The 25,724-nt window shown below is 39.4% G+C and overlaps 1 protein-coding gene across 4 annotated transcripts in view, besides 1 other annotated feature; it reads left to right on the forward strand.

Moving 5' to 3' along the window:
* CD28 (CD28 molecule) overlaps positions 7,612–25,724 on the forward strand; it is a 32,431-nt gene continuing 14,318 nt past the window's right edge. For 3 of the 4 annotated variants that reach the window (NM_006139.4, NM_001243077.2, NM_001243078.2), the window contains exon 1: positions 7,769–7,878. In NM_006139.4, the coding sequence (NP_006130.1) occupies positions 7,827–7,878 (52 nt within the window). In that variant the 5' untranslated portion in view covers positions 7,769–7,826. Of the gene's footprint in view, positions 7,748–7,768; positions 7,879–25,724 lie in introns of those variants that run through there. The other variant, NM_001410981.1, reaches the window with a different exon arrangement.
* Positions 7,649–7,798: an enhancer, noted in NCBI's record as "active region_17013". NCBI's record gives its function as "activates an Ori minimal core promoter by ATAC-STARR-seq in GM12878 lymphoblastoid cells {active_cell/tissue: GM12878}" and the evidence as "EXISTENCE:reporter gene assay evidence [ECO:0000049][PMID:35858748]".

A 25,724-nucleotide genomic window follows, 5' to 3' on the forward strand; every position in this document is an offset into this window, starting at 1 on the left:
CACAATAAAAAATGATGAAGGGGATATCACCACTGATCCCACAGAAATACAAACTACCATCAGAAAATACTATAAACACCTCTATGCGGCCGGGTGCAGTGGCTCACGCCTGTAATCTCAGCACTTTAGGAGGCCAAGGCGGGCGGATCATGAGGTCAGGAGGTTGAGACCATCCTGGCTAACATGGTGAAACTCCATCTCTATTAAAAACACAAAAAATTAGCCGGGCATGGTGGCAGGCGCCTGTAGTCCCAGCTGCTCGGGAGGCTGAGGCAGGAGAATGGTGTGAACCTGGGAGGCGGAGTTTGCAGTGAGCCGAGATTGCGCCACTGCACTCCAGCCTGGGCGACAGAGCGAGACTCCGTCTAAAAAAGAAAAAAAAAACCAAAACACCTCTATGCAAATAAACTAGAAAATCTAGAAGAAATGGATAAATTCCTGGACACATACACCCTCCCAAGACTAAACCATGGAGAAGTCAAATCTCTGAATAGACCAATAACAAGTTCTGAAATGGAGGCAGTAATTAATACCCTATCAACCAGAAAAAGCCCAGGACCAGACAGAGTCACAGCTGAATTCTACCAGAGGTACAAAGAGGAGCTGGTACCATTTCTTCTGAAACTATTCCAAAAATTAGAAAAAGAGGGATTCCTCCCTAACTCATTTTATGAGGCCAGCATCATCCTGATACCAAACTCTGGCAGAGACACAACAAAAAAAGAAAATTTCAGGCGAATATCCTTGATGAACATTGATGCCAAAATCCTCAATAAAATACTGGCAAACCGAATCCAGCAGCACATCAGAAAGCTTATCCACCATGATCAAGTCGACTTCATCCTTAGCATGCAAGGCTGGTTCAACATACACAAATCAATAAATGTAATCCATCACATAAACAGAACCAATGACAAAAACCACATGATTATCTCAAAAGATGTGGAAAAAGCTTTGATAAAATTCAACACCGCTTCATGCTAAAAACTCTCAGTAAACTAGGTGTTGATGAAACATATCTCAAAATAATAAGAGCTATTTATGACAAACCCATAGCCAATATCATACTGAATGGGCAAAAGCTGGAAGCATTCCCTTTAAAAACCAGCACAAGACAAGGATGCCCTCTTTCACACTCCTATTCAACATAGTACTGGAACTTCTGGCCAGGGCAATCAGGCAAGAGAAAGAAATAAAGCGTATTCAAATAGGAAGAGAGGAAGTCAAATTGTCTTTGTTTGCAGTTGACATGACTGTATATTTAGAAAACCTATCTGTATTTTTAGAATGCTGTATATTTAGACTGTATATTTAGAAAACCATCTCATGCCAGTTAGAATGGCGATTATTGAAAAGTCAGGAAACAACAGATGCTGGCGAGGCTGTGGAGAAATAGGAACTCTTTTACACCATTGGTGGGAATGTAAATTAGTTCAACCATTGTAGAAGACAGTGTGTCAATTCCTCAAGGATCTAGAACCAGAAATACCATTTGACCCAGCAATCCCATTACTGGGTATATACCCAAACGATTATAAATCATTCTACTATAAAGACATGCACACGTATGTTTATTGGAGCACTATTTACAACAGCAAAGACTTGGAACCAACCCAAATGCCCATCAATGATAGACTGGATAAACAAAATATGGCACATATATGGGCTGGGTGTAGTGGCTTACGCCTGTAATCCCAGCACTTTGGGAGGCCAAGGCAGGTGGATCACCTGATGTTGGGAGTTCGAGACCAGCCAGACCAACATGGAGAAACCCCATCTCTACTAAAAATACAAAAATTAGCTGGGCCTGGTGGTGCATGCCTGTAATCCCAGCTACCTGGGAGGCTGAGGCAGGAGAATTGCTTGAACCTGGGAGGCAGAAGTTGCAGTGAGCCAAGATCGTGCCATTGTACTCTAGCCTGGGCAACAAGAGCGAAACTCTGTCTCAAAAAATAAAAAAATAAAATTAAATTAAATTAAAAAAAAGAAAATATGGCACATATATACTATGGAATACTATGCAGCCATAAAAAGAATGAGTTCATATCCATCGTCTCAGCCCAAAAACTCCTTCTGATAAGCAACTTCAGCAAAGTCTCAGGATACAAAATCAATAGGCAAAAATCACAAGCATTCCTATACACCAATAATAGACAAGTAGAGAGCCAAATCATGAGTGAACTCCCATTCACAATTGCTACAAAGAAAATAAGATACTTAGGAATACAGCTTACAAGGGATGTGAAGGACCTCTTCAAGGAGAACTACAAACCACTGCTCAAGGAAATAAGAGAGGACACAAACAAATGGAAAAACATTCCATGCTCATGAATAGGAAGAATCAGTACCATGAGATTGGCCATATGGCCCAAAGTAACTTATAGATTCAATACTATTACCATCAAGCTACCATTGACTTTCTTTGCAGAATTAGAAAAAACTACTTTAAATTTCATATGGAACCAAAAAAGAGCCTATATAGCCAAGAGAATCCTAAGCAAAAACAACAAAGCTGGAGGCATCCTGCTACCTGACTTCAAACTGTACTATAAGGCTACAGTAACCAAAACAGCATGGTACTGGTACCAAAACAGATATATAGACCAATGGAACGAAACAGAGACCTCAGAAATAACACCACACGTCTACAACCATCTGATCTTTGACAAACCTGACAAAAACAAGCAATGGGGAAAGGATTCCCTATTTAATAAATGGTGCTGGGAAAACTGGCTAGCCATATGCAGAAAACTTAAACTGGTCCCCTTCCTTATAGCTTATACAAAAATTAACTTAAGATGGATTAAAGATTTAAATGTAAAACCTAAAACCATAAAAACCCTAGAAGCAAACCAAGGCAATACCATTCAGGACATAGGCATGGGCAAAGACTTCATGACTAAAACACCAAAAGCAATCACAACAAAAGCCAAAATTGACAAATGAGATCTAATTAAAACTAAAGAGCTTCTGCACAGCAAAAGAAACTACCATGAGTGAATAAGCAAACTACAGAATGGGAGAAATTTTTGCAATCTATCCATCTGACAAACGTCTAATATCCAGAATCTGTAAGGAACTTAAACAAATTTACAAGAAAAAAACAACCCCATAAAAAGTGGGCAAAGGATACGAACAGACACTTCTCAAAAGAAGACATTTCTGCAGCCAACAAACATGAAAAAAAGCTCATCATCACTGATCATTAGAGAAATGCAAATCAAAACCACAATGAGATACCGTCTCACGCTGGTTAGAATGGCAATTATTAAAAAGTCAGGAAACAACGGATGCTGGCGAGGCTGTGGAGAAATAGGAACTCTTTTACGCTGTTGGTGGGAGTGTAAATTAGTTCAACCATTGTGGAAGACAGTGTGTCGATTCCTCAAGGATCTAGAACCAGAAATACCATTTGACCCAGCAATCCCATTACTGGGTATATACCCAAAGGATTATAAATCATTCTACTGTAAAGACATGCACACGTATGCTTATTGCAGCACTATTTACAACAGCAAAAACTTAGAACCAACCCAAATGCCCATCAATGATAGACTAGATAAAGAAAATATGGCACGTATATACTATGGAACACTATGCAGCCATAAAAAAGTATGAGTTCATGTCCTTTGCAGGGACATGGATGAAGCTGGAAGCCATCATTCTCAGCAAACTAACACAGGAGCAGAAAACCAAACACCACATGTTCTCACTCATAAGTGGGAGTTGAACAATGAGAACACATGGACACAGGGAGGGTAACATCACACACTGTGACCTGTCAGGGGGTGGGGATCAAGGGGAGGGAGAGCATTAGGACAAATACCTAATACATATGGGGCTTAAAACCTAGATGATGGGTTAATAGGTGCAGCAAACCACCATGGCACACGTATACCTTTGTAACAAACCTGCACGTTCTGCACATGTATCCCAGAACTTGAAGTAAATTTAAAAAAACAAAAAGAAAGAAAAATGTCTGTTCATGTCCTCTGCCTACTTTTTAATGGGATTGTTTTTTTCTTGTTGAGTTGTTTCAGTTCCATGTAGATTCTGGTTATTAGCCTTTTGTCAGATGTTTAGTTTGCAAATATTTTTCCCATTCTATAGTTATCTACTTACTCTGTTGATTGTTTCTTTTGCTGTGCAGAAGCTTTTTAGTTTATTTAAGTCCCATGTGTCTATTTTGTTGCCTTTGCTTCTGAGGACTTGTTCATAAATTCTTTGCCTCGGCAGATGTAAAAAAGAGTTTTTTCTTGGTTTTCTTCTGGGATTTTTATAGTTTCAGGTCTTACATTTAGGGCTTTAATGCATATTATGTTAATTTTTGTATATGGTGAGAGGTATGGGCCCCGTTTCATTCTTCTGCATATAGCTAGCCAATTTTCCCAGCACCATTTATTGAATAGGGAGTCCTCTCCCCAGCATATATTTTTGTTAACTTTGTTGAAGATCAGTTGGTTGTAGATATGTGGCTTTATCTCTGGGTTCTCTATTCTGTTCCATTGTTCTATGTATCTATTTTTATACTAGTACCATGCTGTTTTGGTTACTATAGTTTTACCATGTAATTTGAAGTTAGGTAATGTGATACTTCAAAGCTTTGTTCTTTTTGCTTAGGATTGCTTTGACTATTCAGCTCTTTTTGGATTCCACACGATTTTTAGGATTGCTTTTTCAAATTCTGTGAAAAATGACATTCTTTTGTTCTGACAATTCTTAACCCCACTTCAGACCAGTTTTCTCATCTGTAAAATGGAGATAATAATAATCTTCCTCACAGGTTGTGTATTAAATGAGATCTGGAATGTAAAGTTCTTAGTATGGAAATGCTATTATTTTTACTGAAAATGTTGTAGGGTCTCAGTATCCTGTGTATTGCCGGATTTAAGGTCCTTATTTTATTTCTGTCATTTCTACCTCTTGGTATATGTGAATGCTATTGGATTTCAAAAGCAAATGTGAAAGGATTCTAATGAAATGGTTTGCTTCTTTAGTGTCATACATGTTAAAACATAGGAAGGCAAATGTCAAAGTTTGTGTTTCTTTTTATTCTATGGAAAGAAAATTAAATATGGCTCATCAAATAATAAGGCCAATAATATTTAATTATTGTTTTGTGAATTCGTATAAATGAGCTGACCTCTCTGGGCTGCAGCTTCCTTCTCTGCAAGATAAGGGAATTAGGCCAGATGAGTGAACTGTTTCTTTTTCAGCTAAGTTTGACCCGATTACTACTATTTACATAGTATTAACTAGATGCTATGTAGTCATCTTTAATATGCTTGAAGACAGTTATTAACTCACTCCTTAGCCTTTTGTTGTTGATCATGGAAAACTACTGGGTATCTTTGTTTCTTCTGTGTATATTCTCAGTATGTATAATGAGTCTCAGAGCCTCTTGTTTTAAGATCTGGGTAGGCTGGTGGCTCTAGAATATGGATGACCTTTTAGGAAAGGTCACCTTGCCATCTGTAAATTTTCCCCCAGATAGACTTCAGGCCCTGGGGAAGGCATGGGTTCCCCTAACTGGATAGAGGATCAGAGCCAGGAAGACTGTGTCAAATTCTAGAAGTGAATCTTCTCCAGGACTCAGGGCATAGCTTTGTCACTTACCTATAGTTCAGAAGTGTGAGTGAATCATTTCCAAGGACAAATTTCTCCAAAGGACCAAAAGATGTGTTAGTAAGAGGGGTTCACAAAGACTGTGTTTGTGGGAAAATTGAAGTGTGAACAAAGAAGGTCTACCAGGACAGGAAATACTTTTGATCTGTCATTTATCAGATCAGGAGGGAGGGACATGAAGCCTGCCTCCTCTTACAGCTAGGTCATCAAAGAGTTTGACTGTAGCATTTTAAAATAGCGAAGAAAAAAAGGTAACAACACTAGGGGTTTGTTAAACAATTTATGATATAATTAGAGAATGGAATATTATGCATCAATTACAAATAATGTTTATAAAGATACTTAAATGACATGGGAAAATGTTCAAGATATAACAAATAATAGTACATATCTGATGAAAACTATAAGTAAAACATGATATTAAACATGTAAAAATCTTAACAGACCAACAGGTGGAAGGCAGTGGACCAGAATATTAGCAGTGTTTATATTAGGGTGGTAAGAATGTGGATGAATCTTGTTTTAATGCTTATAATTTTTCTAAACATTCTCAATGAAATATGCCTTACTTTTATAGTCAGAATAAAAAGCAATACAAGTTATCTTTTAAAACAACCCACATACACAAAACCCCCAACTAGAGTAATTGCACAAAGCTTAGATTATCAAAAAGAAGAAAAAAATTACTGGAAAAGTTTTGAAGAAGTCATTGAGTACAAGATACTGACGTAGGTGCCGGAAGAAGAGAGCAGTTGGCCGTGCTGGTGGAATAACCCTCTCTGCAAAGGGCCTGGGAGTTGAAGAAGGGTGCAGTCGGGTGGTGGTTATGAATCTCAGAAATCCTGCCACGGAGCCTCCTTTTGTGCCCTATTACTTAACCTTGAGGGACATAGAGAGCATGAGACACCAAGGGGCTTTTGGTTGCCTTACTGTCCCACTAAGAACATAGAATGTTGTTTTGACTTTCCCTTTGCTTAGGGAACCTCCCCCAGATACTCAGCTGGCTGGCTGCTTGCACGTAGAATGGGTTTTGCAAAGTTCCTAGAAGTGAGTTGGAGGAGGCTTGACATAAATCAAGCACTGTGTGCTAAATGCTCCAGAGGGCTACCTTATGTCCTACACAAATGTTACATTTCTAATATTTGTAACTCCTTTAAACGTTTATGCAGATGTTTCCCAATTCCTCAGTAGAATTCTTACCATTATCTTTTTGACACAACCTGTCCCCATCCTATGAAAATCTCTCCTCTGCTAGAGACTTTATTCTTTCTTTCTCTCTCTCCCCCTTCCTTCCTTCCCTCCCTCCCTCTTTCTTTCTTTCCATCTTTCTTTCTTTCTTTCTTTCTTTCTTTCTTTCTTTCTTTCTTTCTTTCTTTCTTTCTCTTTCTTTCTTTCTTTTCTTTCTTTCTTTCTTTCTCTTTCTCTCTCTTTCTTTCTTCCTTTCTTTTTTCTCTCTCCCCTTCCTTCCTTCTTTCCTTCTTTTCTTTTCTTTTCTTTTCTTTTCTTTCTCTCTTTCTTTCTGTCTTTCTTTTCTCATTCTGTTGCCCTGGCTGGAGTGCAGTGGCATGATCTCGGCTCATAGCAGCCTCCACCTCCTGGGTTCAAGCGATTCTCCTGCCTTAGCCTCCCTAGTAGCTGGGATTACAGGTACCCACCATGATGCCTGGCTAATTTTTTGTATTTTCAATGGAGACGGGGTTTCACCATGTTGGCCAGGCTCGTCTTGACCTCCTGGCCTCAAATGATCCACCCACTTTGGCCTCCCAAATTGCTGGCATTACAGGCGTGAGCCACTGCACCCGGCCTGTTCCTTCTTAAGAACACTTTGTCTCCCCTTTAATCTCTGCTGGATTTCAAGCACCCCTTTTACACAACTCTTGATATCCATCAATAAAGAATAATTCCCATAAGCCCATCATGTAGTGACCGACTATTTTTCAGTGACAAAAAAAAAGTCTTTAAAAATAGAAGTAAAAGTCTAAAGTCATCAAAACAACGTTATATCCTGTGTGAAATGCTGCAGTCAGGATGCCTTGTGGTTTGAGTGCCTTGATCATGTGCCCTAAGGGGATGGTGGCGGTGGTGGTGGCCGTGGATGACGGAGACTCTCAGGCCTTGGCAGGTGCGTCTTTCAGTTCCCCTCACACTTCGGGTTCCTCGGGGAGGAGGGGCTGGAACCCTAGCCCATCGTCAGGACAAAGATGCTCAGGCTGCTCTTGGCTCTCAACTTATTCCCTTCAATTCAAGTAACAGGTAAACAATGTTAATGTCTTTCTTTCTGTAAATATTTTTTGAGGTCTTCCAATTGGCTTAGTTTATTTTAAATTTCTAACAATGTGTGAAATTTGAACATTTGAAGTGTAGTTTTGCTGTAATAGGGCAATGTGTTATTTTGAAAATCATTGATTCTCAGACTACAATATAGTATCTTAACAAAAGTCCCTTGGAAATAAATTTTCTAAGCTATTAGTTTCTCTAGCTATTAGTTGATAGTGTCCCAAGAATTTATTATTATTATTATTATTTTAAATTGAGATGGGGTTTCACTATGTTGCCCAGGCTGGTCTCAAACTTCTGAGCTCAAGCAATCCACCTGCCTCTGCCTCCCAAAGTGCTAGGGTTACAGGCATGAGCTACCATGCCCGGCCAATAATTTTTAATTTATGTATCGTTTCTTTCTTTCTTTCTTTTTTTTTTTAATTTAAGAAAGCTGCTGTAAGTAGATTGGCTCTGGAAGCTCTGAATTTAGGTTGCCTATGTTCCTAACACAGGTCCAATTCTCACTAGGTAAGCTTAGGCTTAGCTATTATTTAAACTCTCCAAACCTCAGTTTCCTTAACTGTAAAGTGGGAATAATAATAAACCTCACCTCAAGGTCATTGTGAGGTAAAATGAAATAATCCATGCGAAGGGCTTAGCTCAGTCAGGCTTCAAGATAAATGTGAACTGTAATTACTCTATCTACCTGAATTGAATGAGTTCCAACATGAATTCTGGAGTCACCACAGAAGCTGCTACAACACCAATATTAATAAATTAGTTTTCTTTTACAATCGGCCAAAATGTATTTTCTTAGATTAAAATTCTTTAAGTTCCCAATGACGATGATGAGGAGGATAATACATCTAGCACTTTGAGCAGCACACAGTTCTCGTAACTAGAAGGTAGGTATTACAGTTAACTTCATTTCAGATGAAGAGACTGAGGGGTAGGCACATTAAGGGATTTGCCCAAGGATGTACAGGTGGCAGCTATAGGAGGCAGGGTCTGAACCACCTTAGTCTGACTCCAGTGCCGGTGTTGTTGATTATTATGCTATTCCATCTAACATGGTGTGATTTGTAATTTCATGGACTCAGGTAAATCCAGGGTTAAATTAACTTCGGAAAATCACAAGCACAATTCCTAACAGAAAGAATTTGTTACTTGGGTGGGCTGGAGTAAGATGCTCATTCAACGTGTTCTCAGAGTTAGAAAAAGGCCCCCGCTTGGTTCAAAAACTGGACTGATAGGGGTCAACAGTCATGCTTAAATAAGGACAGTTATTTTTCCCTGAAAGATACATTGAAAAGCCAGTATCCTCAATTTTCTTTCTTATTTTGGCAGTACAGAGACTGCATTATTTGTTGTTATTCTTAAACATTAAGTGTACATAGCCCAAAGAGTATAATTTCCCAATCTGCAGAGGTACAGTAGTTGCATATATACCCGTTTATTTTATGGTCTGACGTACCAGTGAGCACAAATTGTGTATATTTATAAAACGTGTTGATATAATGAAAGACATGAGTTGGCAATGAGATCTGGTACCAAGCGTTTACAGCTACCAAATATATTCTACAAGAATCTTTAACATTTATTTTAAAAAGGTCAAACCTTATTTTTAAGAGATCTCTCAAACTTAAAGAATATTTAAAATTACTTAATTTGTTAGACAGTCAAGGGAAGCCTACCCTGACTGAAAACTATTTAAAATTGGTAATTGTACACTAAATACTTTTCTGATGTGCTTTGTGGACACCTATCTGTCATCAACTTATTCACTCTCTTTTGAAGAGTTTTTGGTAAGACTCAAAACTTTGTATGTTTTCTTTAGAACATTTATTAAAAGGGGACTAGCTAGATAAGTGGTTGGAGAGTTCACACACATAGGGCCTTTGTTTTCTACTTTGACATATATTTACTTTTCAAATGCCAATTCACTTTTCTAGTAACTTTTAGCATTTGATACTGAGTGGCTATCTAATGAAGAAGGAAAGAGATGGGAGTGAAGGGGACACTTTTACAGTCTTTTCCAGTAAGAAAACTTACGAGCAAGAAAAGAATGACCACATAAAAAATGTATGATTTGGCCTGGTGTGGTGGCTCACGCCTGTAATCGTGGGACGCTGAGGCGGGTGGATCACTTGAGGTCAGGAGTTGGAGACCCGTCGGGCTAACATGGTGAAATCCCATCTCTACTAAAAATACAAAAAAATTAGCAGGGTGTGGTGGCATGCGCCTGTAATCCCAGCTACTTGTGAGGCTTAGGCAGGAGAATTGCTTAAACCCGGGACGCGGAGGTTGCTGTGAACTTAGATTGCACCCCTGCACTCCAGCCTGGGAAACAGTCTCAAAAAAAAAAAAAAATTATGCTGCATTCTAATCAAATAGTGCAAAGCTTCTTGTGTGCTTTGCCTTTCTCTGTACACACCTTCCATTAAGAAATTATAGATAGGGAAATTCTCTGGTCAAAGTGTAACTGTCCTTCCTAGGTCTGAGAAACCACTGTTATGCCTGTGTTGAGATGTGTATCTGTGTGCGTGCATGTGTGTGTATGTATGTATATGAAGAATAGTTCTTTTTTCCATTAATTTAATAATGTGTGTGTATGTATGTATATGAAGAATAGTTCTTTTTTCCATTAATTTAATAATGTAACTTATTTGTTTACAGCATAGCTTAAAATATTTATTCTATAAAGGTTAAGTCTAACCTGATTCCTTATGAGTTGGATGACAGTGTAGAGAGATATTTATGGCTAAGTTAAAGAAGTGTGATTTAGGAAGAGTGAGGAAACCTTAACTTAGATAAGCCCTTTGCATGTTTTCTACTAGACTCGGATAATTGTGCAACTGAGATCCACAGAGAGTATTTTGCTGGACTTTGGGATAGGAGTCCAGCCCAGAACTACAGAGCCTTAAGAGGGAAATGCTCTGGGATTGATGATAGAAGGATGGTATGCACAAAATACTTGACATTGGTCACATGTTTCAGGCCATATTTGCTATTTTTTAGCAAGCCTAATCATCCAGTGTGAAGAGAAAAATCAGCATATTACCACTTATTTTTCCATGAGATCATTCCTTTTCACTTCTCCAAAACTTGGGCAAAAAACTGTCAAAATGGCCAGTTTGGACAAAGCTAATTTCTCCAGCGCCTTCCCTTAGCGCTTATTTTTCTGAGAGAGGCATGGAAAGCAGGAAAATAACTGACATTTAATAAAAAGTCATCAGCAAAGCAATTAAAAATTTTATTTGTACTCTAGTCTTCAGCCAATGACTCCCCTGAGCTGGTTGTATACGGAAAGAAGTAATTTGTTTCTCACAGTTAAGTGTTGCTCTGAGACTGGGCTTGGGAAAGTAAGGTGAAAAGATGAATGTCAAAAAATCAACAGATTGCCGTATTTACATGACTTCCAATATGCTGTGGCCAGTTTTTCTGTTAAAAGAAATTGACTGGATGTTTTTGTCATTTCAAGTAAATTTGATGGATATTTCAAAAGTATAGGCATTGCTTAAGGATTTGTTTTACTCTACTACCGTGCCCTAGTTAACACATTGTGTTTTTTAAGGCAACCATCCAGCAAGGACGTTTACAGCAAGGACTGCAAAATTAATATCAATATATCAATACCAGGAAATGGAATGAGTCATTGCCACAGATAGATTAGAAATAGAAATGAATCTGTGATTGTAACTCCAAAGCTCTCACATTCAAACTTTTACTATGGGTGGGGAGAGGATCTCGCTGCCTCCCCTTCTTTAAGACATAGACCCTCCTCCTTTTTAACGTCTTATGCCTTTTTTCAAGGGTGGAGAAATGCCATATGATTACCATTTGGCTTTTATCTTGTGTGGATATCTTCCTCCAAGTATTTCCTGCAAGCAGTGTGCTGACATTTACAAAAGGAAAATTTTTATGCCACCAACATCCCAGAAGAAAATTTGTTGTGGTTTATCATCTCTAACACAAAAGCCCTTTATTAACTAGTGTAGGCATTGATGAGGATACGCAATTCATGTCAGACTTGGTTGTCTAAAAATCAGAGGACGGACACTCCTTCAAAGCACAATTGTTTCCCAGCAGGTCATGGCAAGGGATAGAATCTTCTTCTCTTTCTCATGTTGGTTAAATTTTTGTTTGCCTTTTTCTTCAAGAAATTTATTATTTATGGAACTTCACAGAGGCTGGAACTTTTCTTCTCAGTACATAGTTGAGCTGAGCATCTGGAAAAATTACATCTGGGTGGTTTTGTGACTGACTGAATGGCTCTCTGGTTAAGCTGTGTTAAGATATCTGTGTCTCTTTTACGGTGATTTATTTGGCCGTTTTTGGCCAATGACAGGGTGTTAGCACCAAAAACCCAAAACCAAAAAAACCAAGACAATTCACTCAGAGCTTTGAGCCTGATAATTATAGCATGAGAATTGGTGCCTGAAGCTGGGGGGAAGGTAACCCAGGCCCCACAGAAAGGTGGTTGCATGCAAGTGTCTAACTTTTTCCTTGTTAATCTCATTTTGAGGACTCCAAACACTAGAAGAGAAGTGCACTGGATAGGATCAAGAACTACTCAGTCATTTGGTAGAGGCTTGGAAAAAAGAGTTTAGACTTCTCACTATTTCAATGTTAATTTCAAAGGCATGTTTATTTAGTCTCGTGTCACCATGCAGGTTATATGTGCTTCTGTTTTCATTGCTGGAAGAGAACCTGCAAGGTGGTGGAGAAGTTCTTACTTAACTTTGAGCTGCTCCCTTATCTCTGCATTACCATTACTGTCATCTTTTTCTTTGTCATCATCTTCATTATCTTGGGTATTGTGGCTGACAATATAACCAGGTTAATGGTTCCTGATGGTATCATTCAGAATTACTCACTCATAGTTCACTTTGGCCTCTGATCTAATTGTGAGCCCCTTTCTGCAATATCTGAATCACCTCATTGGCTCACAATCCACCATGTAATCTACTTGTCTTTCATGTTAGACTTTTCGTGAAAGATCCACCTCCTCGAAGAAGCTTCTGGATACTTCAGCCTTTATTGTGGTCTTGGAAGAGGAGTTCTGATGGAAGTGTATCTCAACTTAACAAATATTTATTAAACCTCTCATATTTTAATCTCCATCAGAGTTTCAGAGAATATAAAAAGAAATATAGGCCGGATATGGTGCCTCACACCTGTAACCCCAGCACTTTGGGAGACCAAGGCAGGCAGATCACCTGAGGTCAGAAGTTTGAGACCAGTCTGGCCAATATGGTGAAACCCCATCTCTACTAAAAATACAAAAATTAGCCAGGCGTGGTGGTACACACCTGTAGTCCCAGCTACTGGGGAGGCTGAGGTAGGAGAATTGCTTGAACCTAGGAGGCAGAGGTTGCAGTGAGCAGAGATTGTGTCAATGCACTCCAGCCTGGGTGACAGAGCGAGATTCCGTCTCAACAACAACAAAAAAAAGAAATATAAAATCAGTACACAAGTATTGTGTAGTACAAGTAATTAGGTAGTTAACTGAGTTCTCTCTGCTTTTACAGCCCCTATGATTTAGTTGAGTAGGTTATATATAATAGGAGGATGTAACATCTGGAAACAGATAAATAACACTTGGCAGTCACTACCTCACCATGCTATTTGATGACTAAAGGACTTTGGTTTGCCTACATTATTTTTATAATCTGAAATGTCCTCTACACCTCTCACCTGAAGAAGCCTTCTCTGAGACCCCAAATGGCAAAGAGAGGGACTTCCTTCCCTCTCAAGTTTCTCCAAATTATTACTGTGTATTGACACATTTATTTTCTTTTCCACTAGACTATGAACTCCTTGAGGGCAGAATCATGTCTTATTCATCCTTCTAACCTCTGTATTAGGCACAATGCTGTAAGCATATAGTTACTCAATAAATATTTGTTGAAGAAAGAAATGAATGAATTAGTAACAAAATGAGGAAGCATAAAATAAATACTCGTAAGATTAATGTAGAAAGGTAAGCCTTTATGGAGAGTTGGGAATTAGACTGGACAGTAGACAAGATTTGAATGAACGTTGTTATTAATAATAATTGCTAGCTAACATTTATTTTGCACTTATAATGTGCCAGGTAGTGTTCTGCCTGGCTTTCCCTGTATTAAGTCATCTAATCTCCAAGTCCTATGAGGTAGTTACTATGATTGCTATGATTATACTATTTCATAGATGGGGAAACTGAAGCACAGAGTGGGTAGAGCATCTTGCTTATGGTCACAAAGCTACTAAGTATGTAAATCCAGATGGTCTTGCTCTGGGGTTCATGTTCTTACCAATGCTGTGTTGTCTCAGGAAGGAAAAGGTGGATTAATAAAGAAATTAAACCAGGAATACTGTTTCATGTTCTCAGAACAGATGGCAACTCTGAATGTGTGAGGTTATGGTGAAGCAGCGGAGAATCCAGCTAAGCAAAGGATAGAATACTGGTAACAGAAATTCAAACTTTATTTTCAAGTCATTTTGAAGTAATGGCCTGGGTAAGAAGAAAATATTTCAGAATCCTTATCTTTGGAATGAAGCTGGAGTTATGGGAATGGATGGCTAGTCGAAAGGAGAGGGCATAACTGTAGAAAAACAGAGAGTGGAGCTGAATCTGGAAACTAACTGGCTCTGATGGGAGTCAGCTGAAAAGGATGGTTAGCTAGTGAAGGAGACAAAGAAAGTGGTGAGAGAGGCAGGGGGACACAGTGAGGCTAGTGGAATGCCACTAAGCCAATGAGGGAAAGAGTTTCAAAAAGATAGTGGTTAATAGCATTAAACATAAGAGGGAAAGGAGTGAATAATGGCTTGGGATTTGGCTGAAACGCCACCTGGGACTTTTGAGTTTAGGCAGAGACATGGAGAAGGAAGATAAGACTTCACAGGATTAAGAAAAAGTGGAGGGGGACAAAACAGAGACAGTGAAAAGGAGAGGAAATAGATAAGGTAAAGACAATTAGGAACTTATATCACCTAAAATGTCTACCATGGTATTTTGTGCATGTAATAATAAATGTTTGCAAATGGCTGAGTGACTTAAGTATGTTTGACATGTGGAAGGAGCCAAGTGCTGGACCTGAGAGAGAGAGAGAGAGGGAGAGAGAGAGAGAGAGAGAGAGACAGAGAGAGAGAGTGTGTGTGTGTGTGTGTAGCATTGCAGGGCTTGAGGGTAGAGAAGGGTATTATTAGGAAAGAAAGGAGGAGGAGGGAGAGGAAAAAAAGAGGGTGGGGATAGTTTTCTCAAGGAGATAGGGAGGGAGATTTGTTGCATAGGAGATGAGTGTATTAGAGAGAGGAGGACAAATCTCTAAGAAGATAGGGAGGAAGAGAAGAGACTTATAGGGGTAGAGATAAGTTAGAATGAAGCTATGGTAGATGAGTGATTCTATACTGGTGAACCTGAGGTTAAAAACAAACAAATCTCTCAGAGTAGGTCATGATGTTAAACCTATATCAACAAGGGCTACTGGGTAATACATGCCTTCTCTCTGAAGACTTTGCCCATGTGTACTTTAAATTCTTGCTTGAGTCCTCAACAATGCACACTATGGCTAGGCTTGACCTCAGCTCACGGCTGAGATCACAGGGTCACAGGGTTCAAACCAACCCTGCCCAACATTATGGGCGGGACTCTAGTTTCCAGTCAGGGATGTTAATCTTAGCATTTCCCTGTGTGTTTTGGAACAAGGATATGGTTGCTTGACCTTGGCTTGGGGAGGCCAGTCCGCTATTCTTTTGCCCTCTCTTTTTTCAAACTCAAAAGCTAATCCCAAGGATTTCTCAAGGTGGGGGATGTGATTAGGAGTATTAGTCTATCATACTGTGACAGAACTTTTCTAGGCCTCGGTTTCTTCATCTGATACATGAAGAGTTTGGGCTGGAGGATATCTCAGGTCTACTTTCTGGCTTAAAAGTGCTTCTGAAGTGGAATTTTTTAAAAAGCTAACTTTTGTCGGGTCTAACAAGGCAGCTCAACTACCCCATCCCCTTGTGGATGCTCTTATGACCTGATAGAGCAAATACAAGAAATTAGAAACCAGCCATCTCTGAAATCCCTTGCAGGGATTGCTAACCAGGATCCTAAATGCTGCTAATGTGCTTAGAAATGACTGCTGGACTTTGAGGGGGCAATGCTGCCTTTGCTATCTCCTGTTTTCCTATGCAATGTTAAGGTCCAACACAGTAATTATTTAAACTTCTGGGCCATGACATTTACCTGGAGGTTCTGTATATGACAAGGTGATCCTGAGCAGATTCTTCAGAGGTATGTGATTTAGGCAGAATGGAACAGACAGGAAAAATGTACTGTTGTCTTCATCACAGAGTTGTTTTGAATGAGGGATCAGGATAATTGTGGCTCAGGAGGAAAATATGGCTCTCAAATTTGGTTACTAGATTAAAACATATATTTAGAAAATAATAAATTAATAGAGGAGGTCTCTTTATACCTGTGGGTTTTCTTTTGATCCGTTAACTGAATTACTATAATAATATATATGTACAGAAAGCTATAATTCCCTGGTTACCTCCTATTTAGACTACAGGCAACCTTTTAGAATAGTGAGATTTGATTTTGGGGAGTTGTCTGGTGGCTCTTGGTATGGGTTCCACTTTCATGTAAGTTAAGGTGCTCTTGCTATGTTGTCCCCTTAGATTGTCTTTCTAACATTAGGAGATCAGAGGAAAATTGCAGACCTGACCTGTGAACGGTAGGGATTGGGTCACACTGCATCTGAGTTTATGTTGCTTTGGGTTAGGAAGTTTTGGTCCCAGAGCACTCACATCCTGCATTGCTGTGTGGTGTCTCTGAGTGGTAGGGATGGGTTACAGCACAGGTGATGGTTTTTAGCAATTTTAATATTAACTGTCATCCTAATACATATGAACTTCCTAATGTACATTTCTATCCCCAACTGGCTTCCTCGAACTCTAGTCCTATACTTCTAACTCCTTCTGGATCTTTCCTCCAGGATGAACAAATTTCCTCTTAACTTACCTCATTTTGTCAATGGTGCCTCCACTCATACCCTTACCCAGTGCGTGAACTCTGGGTCGGTTTCCATTCCTGTTCACCATCAGTCTGTAAAACTGAGCACCAATGCCTTGTTTGACCCTTTCATACCAGCTGCCACCTCCACAGCTCAGGCCTTATGAACTCACATCAGTGCTATTGCATCAGCCTCCTGATTGGTCTCTGCCTCAGTTCTTCCCTTGCTCCAAGCCAAGGGCAGTCAAGATTGCTTGCTGCACTCCTCAAGGCTGTGCTAACCTTCCCAAAGCAGCATGTACCACAACATTCTCAACTCAGACATCTTCAGCATCTCCCATGGCCTTTCTGGTAAAATCTATGTGCCTTTTCTTGGCTCCCCATGACTGGTATTGGCCATCTTCACCTGTTTCCATCCTACATAAATGGAATACTCTGCCAGTTCCCAATAAACTCTCACACTAAGGTCATTTCCATGATCTTAGCCTGTCTAAATTTGCCCCAGACCTTATGGCCCAGCTAAATGTGAAGTCTCTACAAAAGCCTCCAGAATCATCCTGTCTGGAAACAAGGCTTCTTTCGCGTGCCTGTCAATGACCCTTTAAAGGGTTCATGTACCACGGATGGCTTCGGAGAGTAGCTGATTGTGTACCTGCCTTCGGATTTCTCCTAGAATGAAACAGCTCTGTCTTTTACATCTTCCCATCTCCTAAGAATCAAGTACATTAAGTCCCTTATTTATTTGATGAATAAATGAATGAATGACGCTGTCACAGCAGAAGTCAGAATACCAAAGGACGATTCTGTGACACATCAAAATTTCTTCTCAGAAAGTACTCATTGATTGTTTTTGATAACTTTTCCCTCTCAAAAATGAATGCCTTAGGTCTTGGTGCTCATATGGGACTTTTTGCTACTGAACTATCTGACCTTTGACTTACTTTCTGACAGTTACATGTAGCACAATAATTTTTTTAAGAGGACAAGAACAAGTGTCCTCTACATTATAGTGTCTGCCTGTGTAGGAACACAAATAAAGGTTAAAGGTGGGGCTTAGATTAGTGCTGACCAAAAGCAACTTCTTTACTAAATTATTTATTTATTTGAGATGGGGTCTCACTTTGTTGCTCAGGCTGGAGTGCAGTGGTACAATCACCACTCACTGCAGCCTTGACCTCCTGGGCTCAAGTGATCCTCCCACCTCAGCCTCCCAAGGAGCTGGGACTACAGGCACATGCCACCACAGCCAGGTACCCCCACACCCAGCTAATTTTTGTATTTTTTGTAGAAATGGGGTCTCGCCATGTTGCCCAGGCTGGTTTCCATCTCCTGGGTTCAAGCGATCCACCTGTGTCATCCTCCCAAAGTGCTAGGAGTACAGGTGTAATCCACTGTGCCAGGCCTTTAGTAAATTTATTAATCAGGATTCTATTTCTATTTATATTGTTACCTATAATCATTTGTCCTTGTTCAAACTAAAACCTCTTTAGATTTTGTTTTAAAACCATACTTTCTGTCAAGAACAGTTAATGTGCTTGGTATAACTGATAGTTGTGATATACACAATCTTGGCCAAAGCTGGTTGCTTGGTCTGCTTCTCTTGATGGAAGTCATTGCTTCTGTCATGGTGGCCTCCACTACACAACTCTCTTGCCTTCTGGTTCTGGTAACTTCGCTGTCCCCTGGTCTCTTTCGACCTAAGGGTGGTCATAATTCTGCTGCTGCAAGTCACAGGCTCTGGCACTACCCCTCGTGGTTCTGCTCTTGCCACACCTTTGCCAACAGTCCTTTCATAAATAACCTTCCTACTCTTGCCCAATTTTGTGTGTGCCATCTGTTTTCATTTGGGATCTGGAATGAGACAACATATAGTTGGCCCACTGTATCCACGGGTTATGCATCTTTGGATTCAATGAACCATGGATCAAAAACAGTATTTGTGGGATGCAGAATCTATGGATACAGAGGACCAACAATTGCATGACTTGAGCTTCCATGGATTTTGGTATCTGCAGGGGTCCTGGAACCAACACCCCATGGATCCAGAGGACCACTGTATATGCATGTTTATCAAGCTTATTCAAAGCCCCCTTTTTCTGTGTGAAGAGATTTTCCTTAAATCTTCATTTCTTGTGAAAATGGGAAGACTTTCAAGATAACAGTCAACAGAAAACTAGATGAAATGACCACAGAATTATTTTTAAACCATAACTTGCATTATTATCATTATTATTACCATTTTTTCATTTTAACATGAATTTCTGGGAGAGAGAGGCTGGGTCCATTCAAAGCATGGTAGGTCATGAATAGCTTTGTTTTTATCTTCATTGCAGCTCAGAGAGGATGGTGAAAGGTGCTACAGTCTGGTGAATGTTTTGTACTTCTCTTTCTCTTATCAGAAGGAAGCCAGGCCACCAGCTAAGGTTATCAGAGCCATAGACTGTTGAGTCCCCCTTTCTTCTCAGGGAGCACGGTTTGTCTCACAGTTTCCTGAGCAACCACCGGGTTGTCTTGTGGGGGAGCCTACCCCTTACAGAGCCTGAAAAGGAGCCAGTGGTCAGATGGTCACGTGTTGAAGGGCATCCTGGGCCTGAACAGGAAATATACTCAGAGGAAAGTTACAGTAACTTAACTAGCTCTGTGGTCAGGAGGGAGGTGCTCTTCTATGCCAGGGAAATCAGCATCACCTTCACAGTGTGCTCACAAATATCACAGGGCAAAATGGCTGAAAGTAGAAGCTTTCATTGTTTTTGGTTCCTACCTAACATGTGAAATTCTGTTCAGTCCGAATTTTTAAAAGGAAACAAGATAATTAGAATCTTACAACCTGATTTTTCAACTGCAAAAGAAAGTCAGACTATGATGTGCATAAATGGAACCTGATAAAGTTCTTAAAGATTCTGGAGGAAAATCACATTTTGCTAATTAATCATGTATTCCAGCTCTCTAACTGCTTCTTTAGCTTCCCAGTACGTTTTATTTCTCTATGGTGCTACGATAAAGAAAAGGAAAAACTATGACAAACAAATGTAATTCACAAAAGCCCTGAAGTTAAGGATTTTCCTAGTGAAGTTCAGACTGAAATGTGATTTCATGTGTTGACTCATGTCTATGTTCAATCCCTTTTGTATACTTGGGTAAGCTAGAATGGAAGATCTCAATGGTATAATTATTACTTGTGCATCAGAAATAATTTATAAGATTATTTGATGTGATCATACTGTCTGTAAGCCTTATCTGGGATCCATCTATGACCTTCAGGAAATCTTCAAAATTGTAAGCAAAATGTTTTGTATATGTGCATTAGAGGCAAAAAATTTGGAAATGTATTTTTTTCTAGATATGAGCATGAAATAAATTCAGTCTTGCTGAATGAACAAAGTTGTTTTTCTGTCCATTTATGATTTAAAACATTACTCCTAGATGTCTAAATAAATAAATTACATCTTAGCTCTTCCATTATTTGTGTGACCTTGTTTGAAAAGTCATTTACTTCTTCTCTTTTTTTCCCCCCAATAGCCTCTTCTTTAAAATAAGGAATTGGCATAGATCATCTCCAAGTTCCCTTCCAGTTGAGTGTGGTTTTTTGCAGGATAAGACTCTAATAAAATAGTGGGGAAAATGAAATGTATTTTGTTCTGGTCCTCTTCCCATTCCATTCACTCCCCTACTTAATGGTAATCTCCTCCCTAACCCTCACTCCAGACATCTGGTACCATCCTCCCTATCAAGTCCAACTTTGAGAGGATCTAGAACCAATCACTGCAATTGTGTTGAAATTTTGATGCAACATGGCAGAAGGAAATGAACAATAGATTAGAAGTCATAAGTTATGAGCTTAAATTTCAAGGATCACTTATGTTTCCTGTAACCTTGGACAACTCATCTACCTCTTTGACCTCAGTTTCCCCATGTGTAAGATGGGCATAAAGATGACTGTCCTGCCTATTTACTTCACAGTTGAATATAGAGTTCAGATGAGATAAGAGACAGCATTTTATAGCCCTGTGAATGTAAGCCATAGATACTAAATTAAGCCAATGTGTTTCCCATATTGCATTTTGGGCTTCATTTTCTTTGGAAATCTAAGCATTAACTGAGCTGGTGGGAGGGTCCTTTTAAGGTCAGGGTTCTTTGATGCTGGGAGCCACACCTTAGAGGTGGTTACCACCCCACCTATGCAGAGGGTTGACCTCATTACTAAATATGGTAATTGACCCGTTTATAATAGGTGTAAACGGCAAGAGTTGTTTTTTTTTGTAACCAAGCTTCCCCACCACCCACTGCCATTCTCATGGAAGTTCAAGCAACTTTCAATTTTCCTGAAGTCGGCTGTTTCACAAGATTCACAGATTATCTGTGGGAAATCTTTTAGCTCTCAGTACCTTGCTCACAAGCAGCAGATAAGTACCTTCTCACCTCCAATCTCACTCTTCATGTTGCCTGTTGTTAAGCAGGAGCTGTGAGGGAAAGAGGTTTGAGGTTAGTGCTTCCTGTCTCCACACCTTTAGCTGGTTTAGCTGCTAGGAAAGGCTTTGAAAAGCAAAGCACTAAATTCACCTTCAAAACAACTTGTCAATTCAGTTAGAGAAATGTCAGTCAGACCAATCTTTTGATAACGTAAGCAAAGAAAATGGATGGGTTGACAATGTTTCTTTTAACCTAGTAGGTTTGACCTAGGTAGACCTTACCTGAACACTCACAAGAAGTAAAATCAAATATTCACAGGGAAAGGGCTGGGTCTCCTGATACCCAAGTAGCCTAAGAAGAATGCCTTCCACTCCTAGCATGAACTGGAAAGCAAAAAGAAATCAAACACAAGTTAGGACGAGGGAGCTACATATTTGGGTTTCTTCTGAGTCTAGATATGTCCTTACATTTGTAATATGTCCTTACATTATTTGAAGTACTGTGGATTTTCAGAAACTCAGAGACCGAAAATACATATCAAAGCCAAATGTCATCTGATATTCTGATTATCAGCTACTTTGATTTCTCCATGTTTTTACTTCATAGAGCAAGGGGTGTGCATTTTTACACATGCCCCATTTTAAAAGAAAATAAGAGAAATCAGAATTATTGTGTTTACTCAAAGTCACAATGATCACACATATTCAGTATCACTTAGAGTCACTGGTTATCTTTTTCTAGCACCAAAAGTAAATTTCTCTCATTTACTGTCTTGCAAAGCATATAGAGATTTTGAGGTCCTGTGAGATAGTTTCCTATTTAGGCTTCTCTGAATTATTGACATGAACCAAGGTGGGACCAAATGCTATGAGGATATAAATATTGAGAAACGAGATTTTATCAGCCAACCTTGAACTCAGCTTGAACTCTAAACTAGGAGGCTGTTAGCTACATGTTAACACATAGTAAGCAAACGATTTCAAGCACAGTATCTGTGTTTGAGAGCCAGCTAATTTAAAAATGATCTATGTTGACAAAGAAGAGGGAGGAAAGTAAACATGAGCAATAAATTGGATGGCTTTTCCTCAAATGGCCTTATCGAAAACAAATAGTTTTCAAGCTCTTTTCCAGCAAAATCTTAGCACTTTTCTGCATAAAAGCCTTCAGTAGATCTTCATCACCTTCAGAAGAGAGCCCAAGCTCTCTAATGGAGTGAACTATGCTTGCTCTGACAATCTTGTCTTTTGTAACTCATGGCCCAGCAAAAAGAAGGTAGCTGTAATTCCCCAAGTCGGCCACACTCTTACCCTCCTCATCTCCCTTGCCCAGACTACTCTTTTTCTCTCTTTGTCTTATCCTCCCCACAGTCCCCTAACTCACCCCAGCCCAAACACACACTCTCCCACCTCACCCCAGTCCCCAACACAAAGACACGTCTTAGCCAGGCTAACTTTTACTTAGTAAAAGTTGGTCAAATCCATGTATGCATACTCCTTCAGGACTCAGGTCAGCCGTCATCTCCTGAGATCCTTAGCTGGTTTCCCTGTTGCCCCCGGAAGTTTTGTGCAGATCACTGTGTCACTATGTTTAAAGTAGGGTCTATTTATATCTTTCTTCCCCATCAGATCATGAGCTGCCGTAGGACGGGAATTGAGTGGCATTCATTTTTGGGAAATCAATTCTTCTCTCCCATGTGCATCTTAGGAACATGTCACACCCTGAGTTAGACAGGACATATTCAGCAAACCACTGGACTCTAGATGCCACAGCTTTTCTTCCTTCCTCTCTCTCCCTTCCCTCTCTCCACCTCACTGTGTGTGCTGGGAGAGGGAGTCAAACTGGGGAGCCATCTGGGGTTTCTCTCCAGCCCACCCACACTCCCTTTTTTTGTCTCCACAAAGAAGTCCTATTCTCATTCCCATCTTTTTCTTTAAATCAGCTCACAAAGGCAGATCAGGAAGAATTTGAATGTGCATTAAAACAGAATCCAAATAATTAGCAATAGAAACACAATTCCCAGGGCGGTGAGCAAGCAGAATACAAATGCCTAACCTGCACTCACTCTCTGAAAAGGAGGAGAGATGCAGGCATTGCTTGCTGGAGTTGGTTGCTCTTCCAATTAGAACTGACCTAATGACTCCTTCTAAGTAAAAAAAGGAAACAAACAAAATAAATCAAAAACAAAAAAACAAATTGGATGTTTGTATTAAGACAGGTCGAACTTTTTGATTCTTTGCATGTTTATTTTTCAGTGCTTTTGCAAAATATTTGTGGAACAAATAATAGGTGAAGTTAAAGTTGTTGACACAGGTTTCCAAAAAGGATTTAATGAGATGGTAGTCAAACCTAGCTGCTGATAACAACAATACAGCCGAATCACCATCTTTCACTCCACAATTATTTTATGAGAGTCTATTAGTCATACTGTGTTATGTAAAGAAGCATAACATGTGGTCCTTTCTGTCAAGAGACTTGGAAACCAGGGGCCTAAGGGAAATGCACATGAATCCAAAGCTAAGCAAATTGAAGCATGTGAAACAAGAGTTGTTTAAAAGGTAGAACTCAAATGTCAAGTGAGCGATACAGATAGTAATCATTTTGAGACCTGAGAAGGGAGTGGTGCTCTGTGCCAAGGAGTTAGTAGACAAGGCATGGAGGTAGGAATGCTCACAGTCTGTTCTTGGGATGTTGGCTTAAATGGTCTAATTAGGAGGGCTTCGGTTTGAGGAAATGAGGTTGGAAAAACCTGTGGAGGCCGATTTGAGGATAAGAAGTTAGTTTTCCTCTGTTAGGCCACTGGTTCTCAAATTTGACTGCCATCTAGAATTACTAGAGAAACTTAAAAAATATGAATGGATGCCTGGGTCCTATACCTAGAGATTCTGATTTAATTGGCCTTGGAAAACCAAAGGCTTTTAGATTTTTCCAGGTGATTCTAAATATGTTGTCAGGTGAATTCCACTAGGCCATAGTGGCTTTCAACCCAATTGAATATTAGAATCAAGTGGGGGAACTTTTAAGATAATATGAAAGACAATCCACAGAATGAGAGAAAACATTTACAAATCACATATCTGATAAGAAACTTGTATCAAGGCTGAGGCAGGCAGATCATCTGAGGTCAGGAGTTTGAGACCAGCCTGGCCCACATGGAGAAACCCCATCTCTACTAAAAATATAAAAATTAGCTGGGGGTGGTGGTGGTCACCTCCAATTCCAGCTACTCGGGAGGCTGAGGCAGGAGGATTGCTTGATTCTGGGTGGCAGAGGCTGCAGTGAGCCAAGATCATGCCACTGCACTCCAGCCTGGGTGACAGAGTGAGACTCTGTAAAAATAAAAAAAAAAAAGTATAAAAAATGCATACAGAACTCCAATAATTCAATAATAAAAAGATAAATAGCCTAACCAGTTAATAAATGGGCAAATGATCTGAATAGAGAGTTCTCTAAAAAGAATAGACCAATGGCTAATAAGCACATGAAAAGATGCTTAGCATCATTAGTTATTAGAGAAATAGCAAATCAAACCATGATGAGATATCACTTCACGTCCACCAGGATGGCTATAATAGAAAAGATGAACAATAACAAGTGTCGGCAAGGGTGAGGATAAATTGGAGCCCTCATTCACTGCTGGTGAGAATGTACAATGGTGCAGTTGCTTTGGCAACAGTTTGACGATTCCTCAAAAAGTTAAACATAGAGTTACCATATGACCCAGCAATTTTACTGCTGGCAAATACCTAAGAGAGTTGAAAACATACGTCCACACAAAAATCTGTATGCAAATGCTCATAGTAGCATTATTCATAATAGCCAAAAAGTGATGAATAGAAAAACAAAATGTAGTATAGCCATACAATGGAATATTATTTGGCCATGAAGAGTGAAGTTCTGGTGCATGCAACAACATGGATGAAACTTGAAACATGGATGAAACTTGAAAACATTATGCTAAGTGAAAGAAACGAGACACAAAAAGCCACATATCGTATGATTCTACTTATAAAAAAAGTCCAGAATAGGCAAATTCATAGGGCCAAAGTAGATCAGTGGTTTCCAGGGATTTAAGGGAGGGAGGAAGCAGGGTGATGGTAAATGGGTATGGTATTTCTTTATGGAGTAATGAAAATGTTCTGGAATCAGATAGTGGTGATTCATTCATAACTTTGTGAATATACTAAAAAATCTCTGAATTTTACACTTTAAAACAGCAAACTTTATAGTACCTGAATTATATCTCAATAAAGTTATTATCTAAAATAAAGAAAAAAAACTTAGTATCAATCCTTCCCCCCAGCCTAGACCAATTAAATCAGAATTTCCGGAAGTGGGAGGACTTGGGCACAGATATTTTTTCATTTTAAAGTTCTTGATATAAAGCCAGCAATGATTTTTTAAAAAGAATTTTGTAGAGATGGGTTCTTTCTATGTTGCCCAG

The sequence above is a fragment of the Homo sapiens genome, chromosome 2 (assembly GCF_000001405.40).
Source record: "Homo sapiens chromosome 2, GRCh38.p14 Primary Assembly".
Lineage (NCBI taxonomy): Eukaryota > Metazoa > Chordata > Mammalia > Primates > Hominidae > Homo > Homo sapiens.